The 15,438-nt window shown below is 44.8% G+C and overlaps 1 protein-coding gene across 4 annotated transcripts in view; it reads right to left on the bottom strand.

The window, feature by feature from the left end:
- The window catches only part of ZNF723 (zinc finger protein 723), a 46,450-nt gene extending 31,650 nt beyond the window's left edge, over positions 1-14,800 (bottom strand). The window contains exons 1-6 of one of the 4 annotated variants that reach the window (XM_047439223.1): positions 14,562-14,800; positions 5,685-5,918; positions 3,292-3,398; positions 2,993-3,188; positions 2,477-2,597; positions 1,711-1,832 (exon numbers count right to left, since the gene is read on the bottom strand). In XM_047439223.1, coding sequence (XP_047295179.1) covers positions 1,711-1,713 — 3 coding nt within the window. In that variant the 5' untranslated portion in view covers positions 1,714-1,832; positions 2,477-2,597; positions 2,993-3,188; ... (1 more) ...; positions 5,685-5,918; positions 14,562-14,800. Of the gene's footprint in view, positions 1-1,710; positions 1,833-2,476; positions 2,598-2,992; positions 3,189-3,291; positions 3,399-5,684; positions 5,919-6,524; positions 6,944-14,561 lie in introns of those variants that run through there. The other 3 variants (XM_024451652.2, XM_047439225.1, XM_047439224.1) reach the window with 3 other exon arrangements.
- Positions 14,801-15,438: the final 638 nt, after the last annotated feature.

The following is a 15,438-nucleotide window of genomic DNA, read 5'->3' as shown; positions in this document are numbered from 1 at the left end:
CCTGCTGGCAATGCTCTTTAACCTATTCTGAAGAAGTTATTTTTGACTTATGAAGTAGGTTAAAAGCAGTGGATCAATATTCTGTTTCTGATATTATGAGGCAACAAATGTTTCTTTAAAACTTCTCACTCACATTAGCCCTTCATCTTTTACCTATCAAGGTGAAAGTTTTTTTATATATAAGTTGGCAGCAAAATTCTCTACATATAAGTATACCCCATAAAGAGATACCTTTTTTATTTCTGTTGTTCGTAGAGCCATTAGAAAACTGTGAATGAACCCTTATTGGTTGGATCCAGGTATGACAGTTATCACCATTCCTGTGAGCTGAGTTCATACACGAGTCCGCATTTGACTGGTGGCTGTATCCACATATGATAGTCACAATTCCAACTGTGAACTGTGTTCATGAGTCAGATTCAGGATTTTACCAGTGGGCTGTGTCCATGTGAGAGAGTGACAGTTATAACTGTTGCCTGGGTGTGCATATGAAAGTCACAATCTCACCTCTGTGCTGAGCCCTGTTATAATACTCTCTGTACACTTGACTGCTTTATGTAATATGAGTAAGTGATGTAATCCTTTTTGATATTCATACAATTAGGAAACCCAGGACATTACTGGTTGCCCTAATGTTGGCTATGAAAGTTACAATCTCTCCTATTAGCTGAGTCCAGGTACAAGAGTCATCTTCATCCCTGTTAGCCGGGCATAGGTATATGTCACAATTCCACCTGGGAGCAGAGACCAGGCTAGAGCATCACATCCCCTGGGCACTGGACCAGAAATATGTCACAGTTCCCCTATGGGCAGGACCCAGGCAAGAGAGTCACATCACCTAAATGCTGGGCCTAGTGAAATGTCACAATGCCCCCAGTGGGCAAGGCTCAAAAACAGAATCAGATTACCTGGATGCTCAGCCCAGTGATATGATCCAAGCTTTCCTGTGGGTAAAGCACAGGCAGAAGAAGAGAGTCACATCATCTAGGTGATGAACCCAAAGATATGTCAAAATGTCCCCTGTGAGCAAGGCTAAGGCAGGAGAGTCACATCACCCAGGTGCTAGACTCAGCAATATGTCGTAATTTGCTCTATAAGCAGGGCCTGGGCAGGAGAGGAGAGTCACATTATCTAGGTGCTGGGTCCACTTACATGTCACAATACCATCCTGTGAACACTGCCCATGCAGTAAAATCACATTATCATAATGTTGGGCACTGCAGTATGTCACCATGCCCCTGTATGCAGAAGCCAAACAGGAGAGGATATTCACTTCACCTGGGTGCTGGGCCCAGTGATATGTCACCATCCCTAATGTGGGCAGGGCCCAGACATGGGAGGAGAGTCATATCACCTAGGTGTTGGGCTCAGTGATATGCCACAATGCTCCCAGTGTGTAGGAACCAGGCAGGAGAAAAGAATCACATCACTAATGTGCTGGGCCCAGCAATATGTCAAAATCTCCTTTGAGGGCAGCACCCAGGAAAGAAAGTTACATCACCTAGATTCTTGACTCAATTCATGTCACAACACCATCTAAGGGCTTGGCCTACACAGACGAGTGGAATTACTCAAATGCTAGGCAAATAGGTCTGTAAAAATCACACATTCATGAAGCTTCTGTGGTTAGATTTATAATTCTGCACATGTCTCAGCTTTAGTTATGAGAGTCAACATCTCCTGTGAGTTATGTGCAAGTACAGGACTCACCATTTCAATGATATATCGGATCTGTGAATGAGAGTCCCAATCCCACCCAAGGACGGTGTCCTGGTATGAAAGTCACAGGCTCACCGGCATGTTGAATTCTTTCTCAAGAGTCACTACCCCACCTGTGGATGGGATCCACATATGAGAGTCACAATTTTAACTTTCGATTGCCTCTTAGTGTCAGATTCAGAACCTCAAGGTGATCAGTGTCCCTGTGGGAGGGTGACAACTTTTACATTTGGGTGGGTGTGCATATAAGAATCACAATGTCACCTCCGTGATTGGTACTGCTATGACATTCCATGTACCACTCAAAGGCTTTGTATAATATTCCTGAGAGTCACAATCTGCTCTGAGACTCTTGTGCTGTTATGACCCATGATTGTACCCTTGCCCTAAGCACAGGTATTAGAGTCAACCTCTCTCTAATTTGCTGCATCCAGGTATTAGAGTCATCATTACACCTGTCAGTTGGGTTCAGAAGTTAATTACCATCCTACCTGTGGCTAGATCCACATATACCAGTCACAATTCCAACTGTGAACAGCATTTACATGTGAGATTTGGGACCTTAACTGTAGGCTAAAAACATGTGTGTGGGTAAAAATTCTAACTATTGGCTGGGTGTGCATTTGAGAGTCAAAATTTCACCTGTGTGCTGGGCTTTGTTATGACACTCTCTGCACCAGCTGAAAGCTTTATACAATTTGCATGAGTATTGTAATTTTCTCTGACCTTTCATGCAAGTAACAGACGAAGACTTTACCTGTTGCCCAAAGCCTAGCAGACAGAATCAATATTTCTCCTGGTTTGTGGGTTGAAGTTTGTGGGTGTCATCATTGTACCAGTGACCACGTCCCAGGCATATGTCACAATCCCACCTGTAGCTAGGAACCAGGAAGAAGAGTCACATCACTTGGATGCTAGGACAGGAATATCTCAATCTGCACTATGAGCAGGATCAAGAAAGAAGAGAGTCACACCAACTGGGTTCTGGGCCTAGCGATATTCCACAGTCTTTCATGTTGCAGGTCCCAAGCAGAAGAGGACAGTCACATTACTTAGAAGATGGGCCCAGTAATATGTAACAATGCCCACTGTGGGCAAGGCCCAGGCAAGAGAGGATTGTTGCATTATCCTGGTTTCAGCAATATGTTGTAATTCCCACGGTTAGCAGGGCTTAGCAAAAGAAGTGAGTCACAAAATTTATGTGCTAGTTTAAGCAATAGTTTAAAATCCCTTCTGTTGGCAGGGGCCAGGCAGCAGAGAAGACTCAAATTACCTAGGTGCTGGGTCCAGCAACATGTCATAAGTTCTTCTGAGGGTGAGATCCAGGCATAAGCAAAGACTCATTTAACTTATGTAATTGGCCCAGAAATATGTCACAGTGTCTTATGTGGGGAGAACTATGGCAGAAGAAGTACATCACATAGGTGCTGGGCTCAGTGATATGACACAATCTTTCTTGTAGGCAAGGCCTAGGCACAAGAGGAGAGTCACATCACCCACGTGCTGGATTCAGAAATATGTCACAATTACTTCTAAGTGACAGGTTCAGGCAGATGAGAAGAGTCATATTACCTTGGTGCTTGGCCTTGGTATATGTCACAATTCCATCTATGGGCTGGGCTCAGGCAGGAAACTAAAATCACTCAGGGTATGGGCAAAGACATATGCCACAATCACACCTGCAGAAAGATTCAGGGATGAGATAAACAATCCCAAACACTTCCAGCTCTAGAGATCATAGTCAAGATCTTCTGAGTGTTTGGTCTAAGTATGCGAGTCAGAATCTCAATAGTAGACTGGATTTGTGCATGACAGCCTCAATTCTTAGACTGTGTCCTGGTAGAAGAGTCACAGCCTCACCGGTGTGTTGAATGTTGGTCCAAGATTCACTATCTCGTCTGTGGACCTGATCCTCATATGAGAGTCACAATTCTAACTTTCAGCTCCTTTGAGTTTGAGATTCAGAACCTCAACAGTGGACTGTGGCTATTTAAGAAGGTGAAAATTCTTACTGTGAACTGGGCGTGCATACCAGAGTCACTATCTCACCTGTGCACTGGGCCCTGTTACCACACTCTTGGTGACACCTGAGGGCTTTATACGGTATGCCTGAGAGCCACAACCCACTCTTGGATCTATGTGCTGGTATAAACTCATAATCTTACCCATTGTCCTAAGCCCAGGAATGAGAGCTAACATCTCTCTTATTGGCTAGATCCAGGTGTGAGAGTTCTCACTATGCCTGTGAGTTGGATACAGAAGTGAGTCACCATTTTACCTGTGGCCAGATCCAAATATAACAGTCACAATTTCAACTGTGGACTGCATCCACATGTGATATTTAGGACCAAACCAGAAGTCTTTTTCCATTTGTGAGAATGACAGCCCTCATTGTTGGCAGGGTATGCCTATGAGAATCACAATTTTTTTCTTTTTTGAGATGGAGTCTCACTCTGTTGTCCAGGCTGGAGTGCAGTGGCGCGATCTCAGCTCACTGCAAGCTTTGCCTCCCAGGTTCACGCAATTCTCCTGCCTCAGCCTCCTGAGTAGCTGGGACTACAGGCACCCACCACCACACCCAGCTAATTTTTTGTATTTTTAGTAGTGACAGCGTTTCACCATGTTAGCCAGGATGGTCTTGATCTCCTGACCTCGTGATCCGCCTGCCTCGGCCTCCCAAACTGATGGAATTACAGGCATGCGCCACTGCCCCCAGCTGAGAATCACAATTTTAACTGTGTGCTGGAAACTGTTATGACACTCTCTGTACCATTGGAAGGGATCATACAACATGCATGAGTTTTACAATCTTCTGTGACCTTCATACAAGTAGAAAGCCCAGGACCTTGCCCATTGCTTGAAGGCTACCTATAAGAGTCAACATATCTCCTATTGGCTAGGTCCAGGTAATGCAACTAATCACTGTGCCTCTGAGCTGGGTCCAGAAATCAGTCACTATTCAACCTGTTCCCAGATTTACATATGACAGTCAGAATTTTAACTGTGAACTGCATCTGCATGTGAGGTTCAGGACATCACCAGTGTGCTTCTTTCATGTTTGGAAGTGACAATCCTAATTGTTGGCTTGGTATGCCTGTGAGAAGTCACAATCTTACCTGTGTGGTAGACCCTATTATTACATTCTCTGTAGCACACAAAGTATTTCTAAAGTATGCATAATTTTTTTTGAGATGGAGTCTCGCTCTTGTCACCCAGACTGGAGTACGATGGCATGATATCAGCTCACTGCAACCTCTGCCACCCGGGTTCAAGTGATTCTCCTGCCTCAGCCTCCTGAGTAGCTGGGATTACAGACGCACACCACCACAACTGGCTAATTTTTTGTATTTTTAGTAGAGATGGGGTTTCACCATATTGGGCAGGCTGGTCTTGAACTCCTGACCTCAGGTGATCCACCCGCCTTGGCCCCCCAGAGGACTGGGATTACAGGCATGAGCCACTGCACCTGGCCAATTATGCATAAATTTTATAAACCTCTGTGACCTTTCTAAACGTAGGTGATCCAGGACTCTACCCACTGTCCAAAATCTAGCTAAGAGAGTCAAAATTACTCTTATTGGCTGGGTTCCCATATAAGCTTGACTATAATGTCTAAGAGCTTGAAAATACATATGTCTAAATTTAAGCTGTGTGAATGGAGCAGGCAAGAGATTCAGATCACCTGAATGCTGGACCAAAAATACGTCAATGTCCACTCTGTGGGCAGGGCTGTGGCAGTAAAGTCACATAACCTGGGTACTGGGCCCAGGAGTATTTCACAGTGCCTTCTGTGGGCAGGGTTCAGGCAGGAAAGTCACATTATCTGCATGCAGGACACAGCAATATGTCACAATCCACCCTGTGTAAAGGGCCCAGGCAGGAGAGAATATATAACCTAGGCGATGGGTCCAGCAGGATGTCACAATTCTCCCTGAGGACAGGGTCTACGCAGGAGAGTAAAATACCTTAGATGCTTGCACCAGGCATGTGTCACAATTCCATTTTGAGGCTTTACCCAGGCAGGATAGTCAAATCACTCAGGTGCTGGACCAAGGTATATGTCACAATCACGCCTGCAAGCAGGTCCAGAAATGAGATTCAAAATTCCATACATTTTCTGGCTCCAGGTATGAAAGTCAAGACCTTCTTTATGTTTGGTCCAAGTACATGAGTCACCGTCTTAATGGTGGACTGTATTCCTGCGTGAAGACACAATTTCAAATGCAAACTGAGTCTCAATATCTGAATCACAGCCTCACAGCTGTGCTGAATCCTGTTCATTGAGTTACCATTCTACCTATGGACAAGATCCATGTATGAGAGTCACAATTCCAACTTTTGACTACCTCCACGTGGGAGATTCACAGCCTCAACAGTGGATGGTTTCCATTTAGGAGGGTGACAATGTTTACTGTTGGCTGAGTGTGCATAGGAGAGTCACAGTTTTACCTGTGTTCTCAAAAGTGGGCTCTGTTCATATGTAAGGGTGACAGTTCTAATGGTTCACAGGGTGTGCATATGAGAAACACCGTATCACGTGTGTGCCGTGCTGGACCATATGATGACACTTTCTGTCCCATCAAACTGCTTTATACCATAAGCAAGAGAGTGGTAATTTGATATTATTTTTATGCAAACAGGAGACCCAGGATCTTACCTGTTTCTCTAAACCTAGCTAGAAGAGACAGTATATCTCTTATTGGATGGTTTGAGGTATTAGAGTCATTATTGCATCTATGATCTGAACAAAGACATATGTCACAATCCCACCTGTGGATAGGAAGGAAGCAGGAGAGTCACATTACCTGGGTCTTGAGTCAGGAATATATTATAATATTCTCTGAGAGAAGGGACCCGGAAGAAGAGTCACATCATCTGGTTTTCTGCCAGGGATATGTGAATATCCTCTAATGAAAGCAGGGCACAGGCAGCAGAGTCAAATCACTTGGGTGCTGAGTCCAGTGATATGTCACAATTCTCCCTGTGAACAAGGCCTAGGCAGGAGAGACACACCACCTGGTTTGGGGGCCCATGAGTATTTCACAATTTTTCCTATGGGCAGCGTGCAGGCAGAAAAGGGTCACATCTTTTAAGTGACACGTGCAGAGATATGTCATGAGGTCCACTGTGAGCATGGCAGAGAAAGGAGATTTCCAACCCCTAGGTGTTGGGCCCAGCCATGTATCAGAATACTAAAAATATGTGGGGGCTGGATAAAATAGGAGAGTCACATCACCTGGGTGCTTGGTCCAGTGATATGTTACAATCCCCCCTTTTGGCATGGCCCAGGCAGAAAAGGAGAGTCACATAACACAGGTAATAAATGAAAAGACATGTCATAGTATGCTGTATGAAAGCTCCAGGCAGAAGAGTCAAATCACCTAGGTGTTTGACCCACACATATGTCACAATACACAATGTATGCAGGGCCTGGGAAAAAGAGGAGAATCACTTCACTTAGGTGCTGACCCTAGTGATACATCACAGTCCCATTTTGCTCAGAGCCCATCCAGTATGGGACAGTCACATCACCTAGATGGTGGGTTCAGCAATATGTTACAACACCCCCTGAAAATAGGTTTTAGGCAGGATAGTTACATATTGTACGTCAGAGGCCAAGAGATATGTTGCAATGCTTTCTGTGGTCAGGACTCACAAAGTAAAAAAGAGTGCCATAATTTAAAAACTGGGATCAGCTGTATGTCAAAATCACCCTAGATGGCAGGGGTCAGTTATGAGAGCAGTCACATCACATAGGTGCTGGGCCAAGTGACATATCACAGTCCTGTCAAAAGGTCCTAGGAAGAAAACTATAGTCATATCACCTAGGTGATGGGCCTAAAGATATGTCATAATAAACCCTGTGAGCAGTGACCAGGAGGAAGAATTACATCACCTATGTGCTGGGCCCAGTGAAAAGTCACTCTCCCTTTTGTGGGCATGGCCCAGGCAGAAGAGGACAGTCATGTAACCTAGGTCATGGAGATATATCACAATCTCTCCTATGCTAAAAGCCCAGGCAAAAGAGTAAAGTTACATCAAATTGTTGATGGACACAGAGATAAGTCACATTGCCTCCTGTGGGCAGGATTCAGGCAAGAACTGGGCATCACCTTGGTGCTGGACTCAGCAATACATCACAATGACTTTTGAGGGCAGGGCCAAAGCAGAAGAAAAACATCACCTTGCTGTTGAGCCTAGTGATATGTCACTATCTCCCCTACAGGCAGGACCTAGAAAGAAGAATCATATCAGCTAGGTGCTGGGCCTAAGAATTAGTCAAAATCCCTCTGATGAGCAGGGACTATGCAGGAGAAGAGTCACATCACCTGAGTAATAGGTGCAGAGATATGTCACAATTCCCTCTGTAGGCAGAGCCCAGGCAAGTGGGTTACATGACCATAGTGTTGGATGCAGCAATATAGCACAATGGCATATCTGGGCAGGGCACAGGCAGAAGAGTCTCATAACCTGGGTGCTGGGTTCAGTGATACATCACAAAGCCCCACTGCAAACAGCACCAAGGGAGAAAAATATAATTGCATCACCTAGGTGCTGGGTCCACTGGTATGTAACAATCACATCTGTGGGCTTGGGTCATACAGGAAAGTAAAATCACTCAGGTACTGGGCAGAAACATATGCCACAATTACACCTGCAAGAAAGTCCATAGATATGACTAACAGTCTCCCAAATGTCCTGGATTTAGATATGAGAATCAACATCTCCTGTATGTCAGATAAAAGTACATGAGTCACAATCTCAATTGTAGACTGGACCCTTGCATGGGAGACTCAATCCCTCCTGCAAACTGTGTCCCCTTGGTGAAGTTGCAGCCTCTAAGGTGTGTCTATCTTGGTCTTAGTCATCAACACACCTGTGGACTGGATCCATGTATGAGAGTCAATTATTCAATTTGTGAGTTCTTCTGGGTGTGAGGTTTAGAACCTCAACTGAGGGCTGTATTCATGTGGAAGGATGACAATTTTTAGTGTCATCTGTGTGTGAATATGTGTGTCACAATTTCACCTGCGTGCTGGGCCTTGTTAGAGCAATCTGTGTACCACCTGATGAATTTATATGATATACCTAAGAGTGGCATTCCACTCTGAGACCTTTATGCTGCTATGGACCAATGACTGTACCTGTGAAATTAAGCCCAGGTATGAGAGTCATCATCTCTCCAAGTAACTGGGTTTACATAGAAGAGTTCTCCCCTGCCTATTAGCTAGGTTTAGAAATGAATAACCATCTCAACTGTGGCTGGATATTTACATATGACCGTCACAGTTCCAACTTTGAACTGCATCTGAGTGTGAGATTCAGAACCTCAGAAGTGTGCTCTGTTTATTCATGAGAGTATCAATCCTAATGGTTGGCACAGTGTGCACATGAAAAACACAATCTCACCTGTGTGCTGGGCCCTGTGATGACACTGTATGCCACCCAAAGGCGTTATATGACATGTGAGACAGTGGTACTCACCTACAACCTTTGTATAAAGAAGAGACCTAAGGATTTATTCATTTCCCTTAAGCCTTTCTGTGAGAGATAGCATTTCTTCTATTGGCTAATTCAACGTATCAATCATAATCATACCTATGAGCTGGGCAAAGATACATGTCACAATCCTACCTGTGGTTATAGAGTAAGCAAGAAAGTTTCATCACTTTGGTTTTGGGCTAGCGATATGTCACAATTCTTCCTAAAGGCAGGGTCCAGAAAGGAGTCACATCACCTCAGTGCTGGGCCCAGCAATATGTCACAGTGCTCCCAGTGGGCAAGGTCCAAGCAGGACAGACACCTCACCTAATTGCTGGGCCCAGTGATATGTCATAATCTTTCTATAGAAAGAGTGCAAGCGGAAGAGGAGAGTCACATCTCATACATAATGAATTCAGAAATATGTCACAAGGGCTGCTGTAGGCATAGCCTAGGCAGGAGCTTCTTATCTCTTTGGTGTTTGGTGCAGTGATATGTCACAATACCCAAAATATGTAGGGCCCAGGCAATAGAAGAGAATTACATAACTTAGGTGCCGGGTCCAGTGATATTTCACAATTCTCAAATTAGGCAGGGCCAAGGCAGAAGAAGATAGTCACATCACCTAAGTAATAAATAAAAAATGCATCGTAATACATCTCTAGGCAGGGCCTTTGTAAGATAGTTGCATCACCTAGCTGTTGGATTCAGCCATATTTTCAAATACGCAATGTATGCAGTGCCCAGGAAAAAGAGGAGAGTCAAATTACCTAGGTACTGGGCAGAGAGACACTTCACAATTCCTCATTGGGCACAGCCCAAGCAGTGGAAAATAGCCGCATCACCTAGGTGCTGGTTACAGCAGTTATGTCACAATATCCCTTGAAACAAGGGTGAGGCAGGAGAGTCACATCACCCATGTGAGGGACCCAAAGATATGTCACACTATCTTGTGTAGGCAGAGGAAAGGCTGGAGGATCATATCACCTGGGTGCTGGACTCAGCAATATGTTACAATGGCCCATGTGGGCAAAACACAGGCAGGACAGTCACATAGCCTATGTGCAAGGAGCAGTGATATGTCAAAATTCTCTCTATGGTCAGAACCAAGACAAGAGTGTAGATTCGCATTGACTAAATGCTGGATGCAGCAAGATGTCACTATCCAATCTGTGGGCTGAGCCCAGGCAGGACAGTAAATCTGCTCAAGTGCTAGGCTGAGGTATACGTCACAATCACAGCTGCAGGAAGGTCCAGAGAAGAGATTAACAATCCTGCACTTCTTGGTTTTAGGTATAAGAGGCGCCACCTCCTGTATGTTGGGTCTAAGTTTATAACCCACAATCTCAACAGTTTACTGAATCTGTTCATAAAAGCCTTAATCCCTCCTGCAGACAGTGTCCCTTTAGTGAAGTCAATGCCTCATAGATATGCTGGATCTTGGTCTGAGAGTCACCAACCCATCTGTGAACTGAATCCATTTATGCATCAATTTTTCAATTTCAACTTACTTTGGGTGTGAGATCCAGAACCTAAACAGTGGCCTGTGTTTATCCAGAAGAATGACAATATTTACTGTCAGCTTGGTGTATATATGAGTGTCACAATCTCACCTGCGTGCTGTGCTCTGTTAGGACACCCTCTGTACCACCAAAGGGCTTTCTACAATATACATTAAAGTCACAATATGCTCTGAGACATTTGTGCTCATATAGACCCATGATCCTTCCTGTGGCCCCAAGCCCAGTAATGAGAGTCAACATCTCTCCAGTTGGATATGTCCAGATAGAAGAGATTTAACCTGCCAGAATTAGAAATACATCACCATCCCAATTGTAGCTGGGTGTTCACATATGACAGTCACAATCTGAACTGTGGGCTGTGTCAACGTGTGAAATTCAGGACCTCTCCAATGGGCTCTGTCCTTGTGTCAGGGTGACAGTCTTAACAGTTGATGGGATTCACATACAAGAAACACAATCTCACTTTTATTGTGCCCTGTGATGACATTTTCTGTACCCCTCAAGGGCTTTATATGATATGTAAAAGAACAGTAATCCTTTATGGCCTTTACACAAAGAGGAGACCCATGATCTTACTCATTTTCCTAAGTCTAGCTATCGGAGGTAGTGTCTCTTCTATTAGCTGGTTTGAGGTATGAGGTAACCAATGCACCTGGTAGCTGGCCAAAATATATGTCACAATTCTACCTGTGGCTAGGGAGCAACCAGGAAAGTCACATCAAGTAGGTTTTTGGCAAGGGTATGTCAAAATCTTCCCTGAGGGCAGAAACCACGCGGGAGTCATATCACCTAGGTACTCAGCCACAGATATAGTACAATCCCCTCCTGAAAGCAGAGCACAGGCAGCAAAGCCATATCACCTGGGTGCTGAACTCAGTGATATGTCACAATGCTCCCTCTGGGCACAGCCTTGGCAGGACAGACACATCACCTGGTGCCTGGGTCCAGTGATATATCACAACATTTTCTGTGGACAGGATGCAGGCAAAAGAGGAAACTCACATATCTTAGGTGTCAGATACAGAAATATTTTACAAGGCCCCTTGTGGGCAAGCCAGAGCATCCCAGCCCAAAGGAATGACACCTAGCAATATGTAACAATACCTAAAATATGTGGGGCCCAGGAAAAACAGAAAAGTAGCATAACCTAGATTCTGGGCCCAGTGATATGTCAGAATTCTCCCTTTCAGCAGGGTTCAGGCAGAAAAGGAGAGTCACATCCCCTAGGTGATAAATGAACAGATATATTATAATACCTCTGTAGGCGAGCCCAAGCAGGAGATTTGCATTATGAAAGTGTTGGGTCCAGGTAGGAGAGAAAAATCATATCACCTAGGTGATAGGCCCAGTGACATATCACAATCTGTTCTTGGGCAGAGACCAAGCAATAGAGGAAAGTCACTTCACCTGGGTTCTAGGGCCAGTGATATGTCACTATGCTGTCTGTGAAAAGTGCTAAGGCAAAAGTATAGGCTCACGTCACCTAGGTATGAGTTCAGTGATATGCCACAATTCCATCTGTAGGGCCCAGGCAGAAAGGTTAAATCACTCAGGTGCTGGGAAGAGGCATATGTCACAATCACATGTGCAAGAAGGTCTAGGGATGAGATTAAGAATCCCACACATGTCCTGGTTCTAGGTATGAGAGTCAATACCTGCTGTATGTTGTGTCTAATTACATGAGTCACCATCTCAAAGGTGGTCTGGATCTGTATTTGAAAGCCTCAATCTCTCCTGTGAATTGTGTTCCCCTAGTGGAGTCAGAGGCTCACAGGTGTCCTGAATCTTGCTTTGAGAGTCAACAAAACATCTGTGGACCAGAACCACATATGTAATTCAATTTTCCAACTTTCAGCTGTCTTTGTGTGTGAGGTTCAAAGTCTCAACAGTGGGCCATGTTCATATGGGAGAATGACAGTCTTTACTGTTGGCAGGGTGTGCACATGAGTGTGATAATCTCACCTGTGTGCTTGGCCCTATTACGTCACTCTTTGTACTATCCTAGGGCTTTATACAGTTTGAATGAGAGTTACAATCGAGTCTGAGACTTTCATGCTGGTATAAACCTATGAGTGCATCTAAGGTAATTAAGCCCAGATATGAGTCAACATCTTTTCAATTTTCTGAATCCAGATACAAGAGCCTTCATCTTCCTATGAGCTTCATTTAAAAATGTTTTGCTGGCCGGGCGTGGTGGCTTACACCTATAATCCCAGCACTTTGGGAGGCCGAGGTGGGCGGATCATAAGATCATAAGATCACAAGACCAGACTGGCCAACATAGTGAAACCCCATCTCTACTAAAAATACAAAAATTAGCCGGGCTTGGTGGCACACGCCTGTAGTCCCAGCTACTCGGGTGGCTGAGGTAGGAGAATCGCTTGAACCTGGGAGCTGGAGGTTGTGGTGAGCCAAGATCAAGCCACTGCACTCCAGCATGAGCAACAGAGCAACACTCCATCTCAAAAAAAAAAACAAAAAAGTTTTGCTACCCCAAATTTGACCAGATGCTCACATATGATAGTCAGTTTTTTTGTTTGTTTGTTTGTTTTTGAGACGGAGTCTCACTCTGTCATCCAGGCGGGAGTGCAGTGGCTCAATCTTGGCTCACTGCAACACCCACCTCCTGGATTCAAGCAATTCTCCTGCCTCAGCCTCCCAAGCAGCTGTGATTACAGACACCCGCCACAATGCCTGACTAATTTTTGTATTTTTAGTAGAAATGGGCCATGTGAGCAGGGAACAAATAGGAGAATAACATAAACTGGGTTTGGGACCCAGGAATATATCAGTGTCCCCTGTAGGCATTGCCAAGAAAAGAAAGACTTACATTACTTGGATGCAAGGCCCAGTGATAAGTTGCAATCCTCCCCCCTCCAACCCTAGGGGCAGCACAAAGGCAGGAGTATGGAGTCACAACTCCTAAGTGCTGGGTTCTGCCATATGTCACACTTGCATCTATGGACTGGGCCCAGGCAGGAGAGTCAAATCACTCAAGTACTAAGCAGAGACATATGTCACAATAACACCTGCAAGACAATTTGGAGATTAGATTAACAATCTTACACATGTCCCATTTCTAAATTTGAGAGTCAACACCTCCACCAGTCTGGCCAACATGGTGAAACTCCGTCTCTACTAAAAATACAAAAATTAGCCAGGCATGGTGGCGGGTGCCTGTAATCCCAGCTACTTGGGAGGCTGAGGCAAGAGAATCGCTTGAACCCAGGAGGTGGAGGTTGCAGTCAGCCAAGATCATGACACCGTACTCCAGCCTGGGTGACAAAGTGAGACTCTGTCACAAAAACAAAACAAAACAAAAACAAACAAACAAACAAAAAAAACACCTTCTATATGTTGAGTCTAAGTACAAGAGTCACAGTCTCAATGGTGCACTTGATTCGTTTACGAGGGCCTCAGTTTCTCCTACAGACTGTGGATGCTTACTGGAGTCACAGACTCACAGGTGTGCTGAATATTGGTCTGAGCATCACCAACCCACCTGTGAACTGAATCTACATATAAGAGTCAATTTCGTACCTTTAAACTGTTTTCATGAGGGAGACTTGGGACCTCAACAGTGGGCTGTGTTCATGTCAAAAGAGGACAATTTTTACTGTTGACTGGGTTTGCATATGAGTGTCACAATCTCACCTGTGCGCTAGGTTCTTTAAGACCCAGTACCACCCGAGAGCTTTCTGCAGTATTAGTGAGAGTTACAAACTGCTCTATGACCTTCATGATGGTATGGACCCATGATTGTACCTGTGGAACTAAGCTCAGTTGTGAGAGTCAACATCTCTATAATGGGCTGGTTCCAGATAAAAGAGTCCTCACCTGCCTAGGAGCTAGGTTGAAAATCACCATGCCAATTGCAGCTGGATGTTCACATATGACAATCACAATTTCAACTGTAGACTGCATTCACGTGTGAAATTCAAGACCTTACCAGTAGGCTCTGTTCATGCGTGAGGGTGACAATCCTGATGGATGACAGGGTGTGCACACAAGAAATGTCATGTTGGCCGGGTGAGGTGGCTCACACCTGTAATCCCAGCACTTTAGGAGGCTGAGGCAGGTGGATCACGAGGTCAGGGATCGAGACCATTCTGGCTAACACGGTGAAACTCCGTCTCTACTAAAAATACAAAAAATTAGCCAAGCGTGGTGGCGGGCACCTGTAGTCTCAGCTATTGGGAAGGCTGAGACAAGAGAACTGCTTGAATCCGGGAGGCGGAGGTTGTAGTGAGCACCAATATTGTGCCACTGCACTCCAGCCTGGGGGACAGAGAGGGACTCCGTCTCAAAAAATAAGAAATGCCATGTCACCTGTGTGCTGGGCCCTGTGATGACACCCTCTGTAACACATGAGGGGCTGATGTGATATATAAGACAGCAGACATCCACTGTGATCTTCATACAGAGAGGAGAAATGGGATCTTATCTATTTCCCAAAGCCTAGCTTCAAAAGATAGTGTCTCTCCTATTGGTTGGTTTGAGGTATGAAAGTTACTATCTCACTGATGAGTTGAACGAAGATATACTTCACAATCCTACCTGTGGATAGAGAGTGACAGGAGAGTCACATCATTTTGATGCTAGGCCAGGGATATATCGCAATCTTCTCTGACGGCAGGAACCAGAGAGAAGAGTCACATCACCTGGGTACTCAGCCAGGTCTATGTTACAATCCTATTCTGAAAGCAGGACACAG

The sequence above is a fragment of the Homo sapiens genome, chromosome 19 (genome assembly GCF_000001405.40).
Source record: "Homo sapiens chromosome 19, GRCh38.p14 Primary Assembly".
Classification (NCBI taxonomy): Eukaryota; Metazoa; Chordata; class Mammalia; order Primates; family Hominidae; genus Homo; species Homo sapiens.
This window is presented reverse-complemented; position numbering and strand designations above follow the sequence as displayed.